Here is a 14,311-nt window from a genome sequence, read left to right on the forward strand (position 1 = left end):
GGCTACCAGAGCCTCTTGGCTGAGCCAGGCGACCGAGATGAAAATTAGTGACAAATCACAGCCCTGCTTCCTATAATGTGACAAAAGCAAGCCCCATAGCAGTAAAGGTTCTCATTAGGGCCCCTTTAAATGCTCAGACTGATTCTATTTTTTAAGTCACCAGAATAGTTAATACAACGTGTGGGACAACACGATTTCCATTGGGGCGCAATCAAAAAGAAAGCTACTTTCCATACTTTCTTTAATCTCTCTCCTCACATCAACCTGAAGCAGAGCGGAGGTACCCCTGGGATTCTTGCTCATCAGCCCTGCCTCCTACAAAAGGGAGATTTTTGCCTAGACAGCTCCAAAGAGTCTCGATTCAAAGGTAAAACAATTAGTACACATTAATCATCACAAGGATGGTACTAAAAGCATAATCCTCTTAGAACTGGAACAAATTAAATCCAAAGTAGCAACATAAAATCAAGCAGAAAAAACCACCAAGTGAAGGAAGCTGAGAGGACCCTGCTCTGATGCTCCAATTCCCATTGCCTAAGAGGGTGCCCAAGCATCCCTCATCTTTGGTCTTTTCACAAAAACTACACTGCCTTCTTCAGCTGCCTGTAAAACTCAAAAGCTCTTTGTGCTGGGGCCATGTAACCACCTCCTCAGAAATCGTGAAGTTCTGTGAACACCTACGAGTTGGAATTCCACAGGATGGGATCTGATTGATTTTCTAAAAGTGGACAGTTGCTCACAGAACCTGGAATAAACCCACCAAGGACTTGTATGGGAGGAGAAAAAAAAAAACAAAAAACCTTCTTTTTCTGCAAAGGAGAATCTGCTTAAACTTCTAAATGAGGCCTGGACTACGTTTGATTTTGACAAGGAATGGGTGCTCCCTTCGTACCCCACCTGATGACCCCTGCCTCCTTTTGTTAGTGTTTTTCTGAGCTTCAGTCTGTGAGGCTGGGAAGAAAAGCCACGTAATGAAATAAGTAGTGCTGCCAACACCCTCTGTAACAACTGCCAGGCATGTGGGATGGGCCCATCAATAAGAAAGATACAATATTATCTTGAGGCCAATGATGAATGTTTGAAATCCAGGAAGGACAAAGGTATCCTTCTCACTTTGTCTTGGGGTGTCTTTCAAGAGACTCTGGATGTTCTCTTGATTTCTTTCCCTCCTTCCTTTTCACATTTTCCCAGGTTCCCAGCTATATACTATAGTTTTCCTTGTTCTAGAAACAGTCTCATTTCAAGTATACACCTTTCTTCGTGGAAATAACCAGGCTCTTTTTCTCTGAATCTTCAGGGTGTCAGAGTAACAATGGGGCACCAACAAACTCATGAACTTCTCTCTTGTTCTCACATAGCCTAACTGATGCACTGTTATGTGAGAAGACCTCCTTCCCACCAGAAGTGAGAGAGGGAGGGTCAGAGGAAATTAAGAGAACACAGAGCCCATCTTGCCACCAAAGGAACATGGAACTTGCTATGTTATTTGCACACTAAAAGAGAATTATAAAAGATAGGACCATGCTTAAAACAAGGAATTACTGGTGGACTTTCATGTCAGTGTGGGAAATATTGGAGATAAATGTATCTTCCCAGAACCCATACATCCTGCTTATAAAATTGGAACCTCTTCAGATATAATCAGATTCCTTACTATGAGAGTAACCCAATTTACAAATCCAGTTCCTGTAATTTATGTTGAAGCTATTAATATTTACTTGCCCAGAATTTTTAACTATCCATTTTTTTTCTCATCTTTCTCCACTTTCCTCCTCTCAGTATACAACCACTGGAAACGAATTACATAATGCTAGGAAAAAGGCCAAGGAGTCATTGGCCTGAGTTGAGACTCATCCTTGCAAACACCCCAGAGTTCTCCTATCTCAGTGCTGTTTGTCTGTAGGATGGATTAGGGAGGTGTTCGTTTATCCACCCACGGCAGAGTGCAGGTTATGTGATTGTGAACCTTGTGACATTTCCAAGATGGAACATATTCAGCTTTTGATGAGATTATTAGCTTTCCCCTTGTCCGAGTCTAACAAATGAAAACCAGATTTGCATGTATAAATAACAATCAAGCGCTGAAATGATTTACTTAGTAAAGTTACTGTTTTGGAAACTAAATCGATGTGTCATGTCAAGATCTGATCTGCCCTCCACTCACATGGCAAAGGAGACTTCTCCAGGGTCTACTAGAAAAAAAAAGTTGGAATCCTATTAATAGTTTACTCTTGTCACGTGAGAATTACAGTGGAGTTTAGCTATGAGAATAAAAGCTCAAAATAATGTTTCTGAAAACATCCTGATAGTAGCATGTGCTATTTCTTATTGTATTCAAGACACACATGAATAACTCTCCCCCAGAAGGAAAGGAAACAAAGCAAAGGGCAACATATTTTCCCACTGTGTAAATTTCCTTCCTTAAGTAGAAATAGTTAGAATTGGAAGGCAAATCCTATGGTCATTACATTTCAGAATGCGGACATGATGACAGCTTCAAAGGTGTGTCGGGCTACACTTGTGCGTGCTCTTTTTAAAAAAGACAATAGGCATTGAAAATTAAGCACTGCATCAAAGCCTTCCAATTCTATTGAGACGAGTCTATAAAAAACTAAGGGATGCAGGGATATTTCTGTGTAAATTACGTGGAGGGTTCAGTGTATGGGAATCATGGTCTAGAATGCTCCAGAGACCACATACAATTCTGCGTCTGAGTGGTATTGTCAGAGATGATGACTACGGCTAGTATGGAATCATCTGCAGTTAATTCTAGTCACTGTCCTGGCATCAAATCAAGGCTTTTAGTTTGAATTAACTCTCTAAATGTTCAGAGACCTCACTGTAAAGCCACTAAATATAAAATGAACTGGAATAGTTGATAGTACTGAACTGGAGCCCGTTTAGAGTCCAAAGACCAGAGGGCAGAGTAAAATGGGAAAAGATCAATCATTTAGACCAAATCCCAGTTCTTTTCTTTACCAGCTGAACGGCTTTGAGATAAATAGTCTAATTTTTTTAAGCCCCAGTTTCTTCATTTGCAAAATGGAAACAGTAATATCTAACTTGCAAGGGTATTGAGAACTTCAGAGAAACTGCAAGTGAAGTTCTGGGCACATTGTAGACACTCAATAACTAGTATTATTTTATTTACTTACTCAACTTATTTATTTATTATAGCATTCAATGCACCTCTCTATACTTAAAAGTCCTAACCTGGGGGCCTAAAGATATATGGGATCTAAATCCAAACCCCTCTACTGAAATTGTGTGCAAAGGCCTGGGCATAGGGACATTTTCTTGAAGATGAGTGTTCATAATTTTGTAATATTCTACAAGGGTCCATGATCAAAAGAAAGGTTAAAAGCCACTACTTTCCGATTTGGCTTCACCTATGTGTTGACCTCACAGCATGGAATGAAAACAAAAATATTTGTACTTCCTGATTCTTTCCCTCAGTTGTATGTATGCTGCGCCCAGTTGTTCTGTCTCCAATGTAAAGAAAAGTTCTGCGTATATATGGATACGTGGGTGTTCACATGGACATGCATGCTTGTGGGTTTAGGGGATGTTCATTTTATAATGAGCCACAAGTTTGCTGAGAAAGGGCAGAACAATTGTGGGACCAAAGTTGATGACAGATGTGACTGTGGGGAGGAGCCTGGGATACCGTGGGAAGAACACCAAGGGATGAGGCGGAAGGGACTTGGAGGGGAACAGAGTGGGGTAAAGCTAAGAGCCCTTAAGGGTTCATTTTGCCTGAGTACTCGGTGAACACAGAACCTGAGCGGACTTGTGGGAGGGTTGGTACTGGGAGCAGGTGACTGAGTGGCAGGAATGGAGAGGGAGTATGTGGGGAATCAGCAGGAAAGAATGTGTTCTTTCACTAAAGGAGTCACCATGACATGTTCTGGAAGAGAAAATAAATGCTGAAGTTAGAGGCAAATCTTACACATTAGATAAAAGAAGTCTTCATCCAGTAGGCAAAAGACTCACAGAGATTTAGGAAGAAACAAGAAAAAAATCTTGAATGTGTTGCTTCCTATTTCAGCTGGCTTTCCTTGGTCCAAATGCCAGTAGTTTCACTCTCTTTAGGGCCTTGCTTGGCTTAGGGCACAGTGGTGAGGCAGGCTTATGTGACACTAGAGGATAAACACGTCATACTGGGTGGCAGATGAAGTCAACAACTGGAGTTTAAAATATATGTATGTGGCCGGGCGTAGTGGTTCACGCCTGTAATCCCAGCACTTTGAGAGGCCAAGGCGGGTGGATCACGAGGTCAGGAGATCAAGACCATCCTGGCTAACACGGCGAAACCCCGTCTCTACTAAAAATACAAAAAAATTAGCTGGGCATGGTGGCGGGCACCTGTAGTCCCAGCTACTCGGGAGGCTGAGATAGGAGAATGGCGTGAACCCGGGAGGTGGAGCTTGCAGTGAGCCGATATTGCGCCCCTGCACTCCAGCCTGGGTGACAGAGTGAGACTCCATCTCAAAAAAATATATATGTATGTGTATATATATATATATATATATGTGTGTGTGTGTGTATATATATATTTGTGTATATATATATGTGTGTGTGTATATATATGTGTATATATATGTGTATATATGTGTGTATATATATGTGTATATATGTGTATATATATGTGTATATATGTGTATATATGTGTGTATATATATGTGTATATATGTGTATATATATGTGTATATATATGTGTGTATATATATATATGTATGCATGCATACGTGTGTGTATGTGATTTACTCAAGTTCTTGATCAAACTTGTTGAATCCCTCCCTCCCCAAGATATAGATATATATGTACTTATATGCATATATAAAACTAGCAGCAGACATGCTTTCATGTTTACTGTTTTCTAGACACTGTGCTAAGAGATTTTTTTTTAATTCCACTTAACCTTTAAAACTACCTTATGAATAGGCATTATTATTGGTTCCCATTTACAGATGAGAAAACTGAGGCTTACTCAGGGGAAGTAATTTTGCCATGATCACATGCATAGTAAATTATTATGCTGGGACTTTAACTAAAAAAGTTTGATGTTAGAACCTGCAATATAAACCGACACTTTCTATATATTCCTGGGGAAGTTGGAGCCAACTTACAAAATGCTAGGGCAAAAATTTAAGCAGCAGCAGAAGGGAAAGGAACTCAGATTTGAGGCTAAAGACTGATCCTGAGTCTCATGGCACCATTTCATAATATGCCCAAAGTGGATGTATGACATTTTAACCCTGGACAGTACTCTGCCATGTTTTATTATTTCTCTGTACACCAGGCAGAGGAACTCCAAACAGAGAGGAGAGGTCAGCTTCAGAAATAAAACTATTGAGAGTGCTTTTATTTTTTTCTACACTAGTCCCACAGGTCTAAGAAAGTCAAGGACTTGATATTTACCATTCATTGGCTCTACACAAATGGGGATCTGCACTCAGAAGCCACAGAAAAAGAAGAAAATGCAGTTCACCACCTCCCAGCAGTCCTGGTGGTGTAGGAGGATGCGCCGAGGCCAATCTTTGATGGCTGCTGGTTACTTCCTCATGAGCAGTGTTAGGCTGGGGACAGCAGGCCGGAAAGGAGTGCTTGGAGAGTGTCTTGACCTTCACAGATGTCTTGCAAAAGGAAGTCAGTATATTGCGTATCTCTGAAGATGAGAATTTTGGTGAAGTTTCTGAAAGGTCACAGAGCTTCCGAATGCCCAACAGTTTGTCCAGTATTACACACTCTTCTGCCTCTCTTGCTTGTATCCCCTTTCTTCTCTCTAACCCCTGCAGTTTGCTCCTCCCCCCATATTGCTTCTCTTTCTTTCTCTCCTTTTTAGTGATCGAATGGCACACATCTGTGAATAGACAGCCACATCTCTGCTGCCAGAATACAGCTGCTGAGGTGTTTGGGGCTTACTTGGAGAAATGAGGACATTGATCTGGGTGAATGGTAGTAGCTGTACACATACAAAGTACTGTTCACTTCTTTGCTAAGGTTTTATGTACACTCTGAGGATATCAGAGAATTCGGAGAAAATCCATGGCACAGATTGGATGCATAATACATGTACGTACTTGATTTGTGTGTTTATGTACACTTATTTTCTGGCCAGCATATATTCTCCATCATTCCTAAGCGCAGGAATTTCTGGAAATACTCGTGCCTGTCATTTCTATCACTGTGTTCCCAGCTCCTAAAACAATACCTATCATACTGTTTCTAGGGAGGTGGACTTTGGCATGCCATAGGTCCTAAAGAAGTGTGGCCCAAAGCTAAGTTTTCCCTTGAGGATCTCACTAGGGCAATGGATGCTGGGAAAGGATGAGGCCAAATGTCATTCCTGCTCTTTAGTGTCTCAGATTTACACTGGGTGACACTACTTTTCCTTAGTTCATCAGGATCTCCTCACTAGGACCTCCCAACTTAACTTCTGCTATACAATGAAATCTTATTCGTGTGCCCACCACACCTTCTATGCTAGGAAATATCTCTGCATTAACAAAAACTTTACCAATGCAGTGCTTTAGTCCATAAGAGATGCCTTAAGAGCAGACACTGTGGAACACAGAGCAAACCAACAGGGGAGAGAGCTGGAGGTAGGGGATTATATTCTGTTCTTACACAAATTCCCTCATTTTGATATTGCCTTGCTTTATTGTCGCCCAAAGGAAGTCATTTCCTCAGTCTCTGTGGTGATACTTCCTTTACTGGAGGAAGAAAATGACCCACAGGGCAAGAATCAGGTCAGCCTAATTGAAAGAAATAAGATTCTTAAAGAAAACCCTTAAGATCCTTCCCTTCTTCTCCCTACCACCATTTGAAATCAGCATTCTTAGTAGCTTCAGTTTTGAAGAGTTCTAACTCCCTTGTGATGTTTTATGAGGAAAAGCAATTCCACTTGGGGAAGAAAAAGGCATTGCAGCTAGCATATTTGAGGACTATATTTTATTTATTATTTTCTTAAAAACATATATTTTCACACATTTTTTGCTGAAGTTATGTTTATGTGTATCAGCCCTTAGATAAAATGTGTGTACAACATAAATTAGTGAAATTCCCCACATGCAGGGTGGCAATTAATGATGTGTGAAATTTATTGCAAGTATTTTTCCCTTGCATAATGCCTGCATCTAGAGTATTACCAGTTTCTTTATGTATATATCATGCTGGATGTCCTCTTATGTGGCTCTGAAAGAAACATTGGCCTAAGAGCTCTGAAGTTTCATCCTGGCTTTGTCTCAAACTTTCCTTAGGGTCTTGGGCAAGTCAATTAAGTTTTCAGAACCTTGGTTTCTGAAAATTATACTATTTATAATTAGTTTTTAAAGTTATACTAATATAATTTAGGGAGTAAAAGCTCTGGAGCTTGACAGTCTTGGGTTCCAGATAGACTCTTAGAAGCAACATGATTTCGTGAAACTCATTTAACCTCCCAATACCTGTGTAAAGTGGAGATAATTATAGCACCTATCTTATAAGTTTACATGTTAAGAGACATAATCTGTAGATTCCAACTTCAAAGTTGGCTAATCAGACATGGCAGGCCAAAATTCCCATTGCACTAACCAAGCAAAAAGGATAAACTACAAAAATCAACTTTTAAAGCAAAGAAGGGCTATAGAAACAAACAAAGAACTAGACTAACTAAAACTTCAGATTTTCTTTGTAGAAAATCTAATGGTCACTGGAAGCTTTCTTAACTGGAGGCATTTGCAATTTCTGGGTGTATTCATTTGGTTTGCACTGTTATAAAGGAATACCTGAGGCTGGGTAACTTATAATTGAAAGAGGCTTATTTGGCTCATAGTTTTACAGACTATAAAAGAAGAATGGCACCAGCATCTGCTTCTGGTTAGGGCTGCAGGAAGCTTCCAGCCATGGTGAAAGGGGCAGGGGAGCTGATATTATATGGTGAGAGAGAGAACAAGAGAGAGAGAAAGGAGGTGCCATGCTCTTTTGAACAACTAGCTCTCATATTAACTAATAAAATGAGAACTCACTCTTTACCATAGGGACAGTATCTAAGCCATTCATGAGGGATCCTCTCCCATGACCCAAACACTTCCCATTAGTTTCCACCTCCAAAACTGGGGAAGAAATTTTAACATGAAATTTGGAGGGGACAAATATCAAAGCTGTATCACTGGGAGTGACCTAAGAACTGAACTTAAACAAAATTGAGGGATTTTATAAAGGAAAAACAAGTCAGCAGTTTTTTGGCAGTCAAAATCTGGAATGATAAACTGGAAAATAGAGGAGCTCAAATACAAGGGAAATTTGCTGAATTCCAGGAAGGCGTGAGAGACTGGGGCCTGGGAAAGAAAGGAAAAGTGAAAACTCCTGCTGTCTCGTGGGGATTATAGTGTGACCGATTGTATTAGTTTACCTGGGGCTTAGGGAGTTCCCAGAATGTGGGTCTTTTGGTTTTAACGCCAACAGAGTTCCAGGAAAACCGTCATGAATTGGTCACCCTAGGGACTTAGGAGAAAAAGATCTCATTAGAGGGAGGGGACTCTACAAAACGTACACAACCAATAACTTGCATAATATGTGAAGGTAAAGAACTCAATTCGAAATCTAGAAAGGTTAGCACTTTTAGAGTTGAAGAAATTGAGACCTCAAGGCTCCCAGTCAAAAGCCTAGGAGGGTCACATTTGAGGAACCAAAGATGGAATAAATCTTACTAAAACTTCAACCCAATCCAAACCCAACTAATCCCTTATAGGATTATAGGGATTTGTTTATCCCTGTGTCTGTCTAAAAAATGGAAAGGGGAACCCCTATTGGTAGGAAATACCATATGAAGACCTTATAGTTCTTATTCTAAATGTCCAGAATAGAATAAAAATTGCTAGACACAAAATAGGCAAAGAAACAGCAATAAAATCTAGGCAATAAAAATCTAGCAATAAAAAATAGGCAAAGAAACAGCAAGAAAAAAAATCTAGTAGAAACAGACCTGCAGATAATCCAGATATTGAAGTTTGCAAATGAGGAGTTTGAAATAACTATGGTTAATATGCTAAGGAAAATAGAGGTGAAAATTGACAAGATAGATTTAAGAGATGAAAATTTTTAGAATTTCAACCAAGAGTTGTAGTATATAAAGACAATCAAATGAACATTCTAGAACTTCAAATACAATTTTCAAACAGGACTATGGATGTAACAGAAGGCATAATTATTAAACTCAAAGACTGGCCAATGAATAATATCCACAAAGCACAAAGAGAAGAAAGAATGAAAGGAATAAAAGGGAGTATAAGGGTATAAGAGCCATATGAAAAACAATAAAAAGGTTTAATACCTATAGTTGGTGTTACACTAGGAAAAAGGATGGTGAGGCAGACACAAACATATAAATACATAATGGTCAAGAATTTTCCAAAATTTATGAAAGCCATTACACACAGATTCAAGAAGCTCAATGAATCTCTAGTAAGATTAAAAAATAAATTAAATAGGCACATCTTATTCAAGCAGTTAGAAAACAAAGAACAAGGAAAACAATCTTAAAAACAGCCAGAAGAAAAAGATACATTACCTTCAAAGAAGAAATAATTAGACTAACAACTAACTATTCGTTAGCAATTATTAAGGCCAGAAAACAATGGAATTATATCATTAAAGTGCTTATGGGAAAAAAATTACTAATCTATAATTCTGTACTCAGTAAAAATATTTTTCAAGAATTAATGTGAAATAAAGAACTTTTGGACAAACAAAATATGGGATAATTTATTACAAGCAAATAGACATTCTAAGAAATAATCTACAGGAAATTCTTCAGGCTGAAGGAAAATGAACCCAGGTGGAAGCAGGAAAAGATGAAGAATACCAGAAAGGATAAATAGATAGGAAAATATAAACAAATATTGCTGTTTAAGGAACAGTAATAGTGCTGTCTTGTACAGCCTATCACATAAGAGTGAAGAAAATATGTCAACAATAGCACAAAGGGTGGAGAGTAAAATAAAAGTGGTTAAACTCATAAGTGTCTTAAATAGACTGTTAAATTCAGGATTGCATACTGACGTATCTAGGGAAATTATTAAAAATAAAATACAAGAATGTACAGTTGAAACACTATTAAAGAACAAAATATTGAATAAAAGACATATGAGGCATCCAAAAGAATGCAGGAAAGCAGGAATAAGGAACAAAGAAATAAACAAAAAATAGATAACTAGAAAAGAGAAAGCCCCAGTGAGTATCAGTAAGTACAGTCAAGGTACATACCCTAGTAAGATTGTCAAGCTAACTTTTTGAAAAAGACCTAACTATATGTCATTTATAAGAGATAAAATTTGAATATAAGATGGTAGTTAAGTTGAAAGTAAAAGGATGAAATGAAGATGCATCACAAAATACAAACAAAGGAAAGTTGGAATGGCTATATGACTTAGTCCGTTTGTGATGCTATAATAAAATACCCGAGACTGGGTGATTCATAAAGAACAGAAATTTGTTATTTACAGTTCTGGAAGCTGGGAAGTTCAAGATCAAGCACCAGCATTTGGTACCTGGTAAGAGCCTCTTGCTACATCCTCCAAAGAGGCCAAATGCCATGTTCTCACATGGCAGAAGGGACAGAAGGGCATAAAAGAGAGAGTTTTCTCTGAAGCCTCTTTTTAAGGGCATTAATTTATTCATGAGAGTAGAGTCCTCACGAATTAATCATTTCCCAAAAAGTCTCAGCTCTTAATACCACCACAATGGGGATTTAGTTTAAACATGAATTTTGGGTTTCTGTTTGTTTGTTTTTTATTTTACTTTTTTTCGACTTTTAAAAAAATTGAAATAGAGTCTCACTTTGTTGTCCAGGCTGGAGTGCGGTGGCACAATCACAGCTCACTGGAGCCTTGACCTCCCGAGCTCAATCAATCCTCCCAAGTAGCTGGGATTACAGGCTCATGCTACCATGCTCAGCTAATTTTTTTTTCTTTTTTTTGTTGGTACAGACAGGGGTTTGCCATGCTGCCCAAACTCTTGGGCTCAAGTGATCCGCTGCCTCAGCCTCCCAAATTTTTCAACTTTTATTTTAGATTCAGGGGGTACATGTGCAGGTATGTTACCTGAGTATATTGTATGATGCTGAAATTTGGGGTATGAATGATCCCATCACTCAGGTACCGAGCATAGTAACCAATAGTTTTCAACCCTTTCTGCCCTTCTTCCCTCAGTGTAGTAGTCCCTGGTTTCTATTGTTGCCATCTTTATCAACATGAATTTTGGAGGGGACCCCCACATGCAAACCACAGAACTATATAGATAATGAACAAAATATCTTATTAGAATATAGTGATTATTCAATAAATTGTTAACTCAAATTGTTCTTAAGAGAATCTTATAAAAAATCTTAAAATCTAATGCTTTGGGATTCTATAATATTAACTTAGAGATGATTCTTAAATTTTTTTACTGTTTCTTTCAAGCTACCTTTCAGAATCTACCATAAAAACACCATGTTTTTTATTTCCTCAGGCAAATTTTTCAACAAATTATAAATATATTATATATATGTGTTTATATATAATATCTATTATATATGTATCTGAACATTTCAGATTGCATATATAACATAATATACATGTTATATATCTCAATTGAAATAAGAATATATTTGGACATTAAATATTTTCAATTTAAACTCCTTAAAATGTGCCCAGTGCACTTTAAGGAGAGTGTTGTGATGTACCAGCACATTTGAAATTCAGGCATTTGTGAAAACTTGGAATTTGGAGGTTTAATCCTTTAAATTGTTAAATCCTATGTCTGTGGGAATTGAAACTGTAAGGGAGTTTAGATCTCTGTAGGTATCCACTTATTTTGCAAGTGGCATATGTGCAGCCCACAAAGGGTAAGAAGGATAAAGCGTAGATCCTTGGCCTCCTGAATCATTGTCCAATATTCTTTTTACTTTGCTATCGTGAAGACCTTTCTTAAACACATTTAACAAGTGTTTTAAGAGCATTTACTATATGAAAGGCATTGAGCTGCTCATTGCATATACAATAAAGAAAGGCTCTGCCATCGATAGGTTTGCAGTCTAACAAAAAACATAAACCTCAAATTAAAAATGTATTATTTTATTAAACTTTTGATGAGTGCCACAGCATGTGATGTGTTCTTAGGAGAGTGGGATTCAGCCTGGTAGAGGCTTCATAGAAGGCATTCCTTCTGAAGGGGAATCAGAGTTAACCAGGAAATAAAGAGAAAGAAGAATATTTCAGGTGGAGAAGAGAAAGTTGGTGACCTGAGATGGGAAGGAGCTTGATGCTACAGGAGCTGATAGAAAGCCACTGTAGCTGGTGCCTGTGTGTTGGGGGACGGAGAGAGGGAGGGTGTCACAATGTGATCTGCAGCAAGACTAGATATTGAGGGGCCAGATTGTGAAAGATCTTATAGGGCTCACCTGCTAAGATTTTGGAAGTTGTTTGAGTATCACTAAAGAAAGGGAATAAAATGTTCAGATTTATATATATATGTGTGTGTGTGTGTGTATACATACACACACACATATATATTTACATATGAATATATATTTAAATATTTGTCAAGTTTATTTATCTATATTTATGTATATATTATTTATAAATATACTATTTAAATATTTAATATAAAAATATTGAAATATTTGTCATTTATACATAAATATATAAAAATTGGAACATTTCAGATTAATTTATATATAAAAATCAGAACATTTATATATGTAAAATATACTTATAAATATATAAATATATATTTCATGGAAGAAATAGTTATTAAAGGCTGGCAGAGTGATCTTCACACAGAGTGGAAGATGAAAGCTAAGAATATAATGTAAAACTCCAAAATGCAGCTTTTAATAAAGGAAAATATTAGAAATGTTTAGCATGTAGACAACAATCTAACCCACAGTGATAGTTTGCGAAGGTGTCAGTGTACTATGGGAACATGGAGGAGGTATTTAGGATTATATGAGTACTTTCCTTATCTTTTATTTGGTATAATTTTTAAGGCACCAATGTGTATAATTTGTAATAATTACCATCAAAAATAAATCGAGTAGATTTGATAAAGTGTCAAGTTGATTTGTATAAATATATAATCTGAAATATTCACATATATGAACATTTTTATAGATATGTAACCTGATTTTATACTTGTCTGTAAAATTTCATGAGGGCAGAGACAATATTTTTCTTGTTCAACATTGACTCCTCAAACTCTGGCACAGTGCCTGCATATAAACATTCAATAATTATTTGACAAAATAATGGATGATAAATGGATGGATGGATGTACAGATGGATGGATGGACAGATGGACGGATGGATGGATGGGCGGATGGATGGATGGGTGGATGGATAGATGGACGTATGGACGGATGGACGGATGAACGGACGGATAGATGGATGGATGGATGGATGGATGGATGGATGGATGGATGGATGGATGGATGGAAAGAATAATATGGAAAATGGGTTAGAGTAGGGTAAAGTAGAAGTAGGAGACCAGTTCAGAGGCAATGAATGCCCAGGGAAAGGTAATGGTGGCATGAAATAGGTGGTGCAGTGAAGATAAGGTGAATTATACAGATTTGAGAAATTCTAAAGAGGCAGACTTTACATAACCTGATAATGATTTCTAGTTTCTGTTATGAACACCTGGGTGGATGGAGGTGCCATTTATTTAACCTAGGAGGAGCAGGTATGGAGGGAGATCATAAAAGTCTCTCATTGACTTTTGTACTTCTCTGCAGAGAGTGAAGTGAACTCTCTAATCCCTCTTTGAAGCCTGAGGAGCTTACAGGGACAAAGTGTCATCATTGTGCTCAGTGGGAACATTGCCCTGGGCTGTAGATGAGAAGCAAAGGAGAACAATTTACAAATAAAATTGCAGTGTTATTTATTTATTTATTTATTTAAGTATAGGGTGACGGTCTTTGATATCAACTTGTTTACTTAACAAATTTGTCTTTTATTCTCATAAAGGACCATATTTCATGATTCTTAGATGAAAATATTTAACATCTCTGAAATTGGGATATGTCTTACAATTCACAATGCCTGCCTAAGACAAAGGTTTGCATGCAGGTAGCTTATTTGAGAATGGATTTCTAGGGCCAGGAGAGGGCAAGTGAACAAGAAGTGGGGAAAGGTAATGCAAGGTGATGTTATTGAATGGCCTAGCCTGTATGTGACTAGTAATTCACCCAGGACCTTCTGTGGAGAGTTTTATGAAATTTGGCTTAGAATCATCTGCTGTGAGGACATTGTCTACAGTTGGTTGTGGGTTGCTCCATGGAGCATGACCT

The sequence above is a fragment of the Homo sapiens genome, chromosome 5, assembly GCF_000001405.40.
Source record: "Homo sapiens chromosome 5, GRCh38.p14 Primary Assembly".
Classification (NCBI taxonomy): Eukaryota; Metazoa; Chordata; class Mammalia; order Primates; family Hominidae; genus Homo; species Homo sapiens.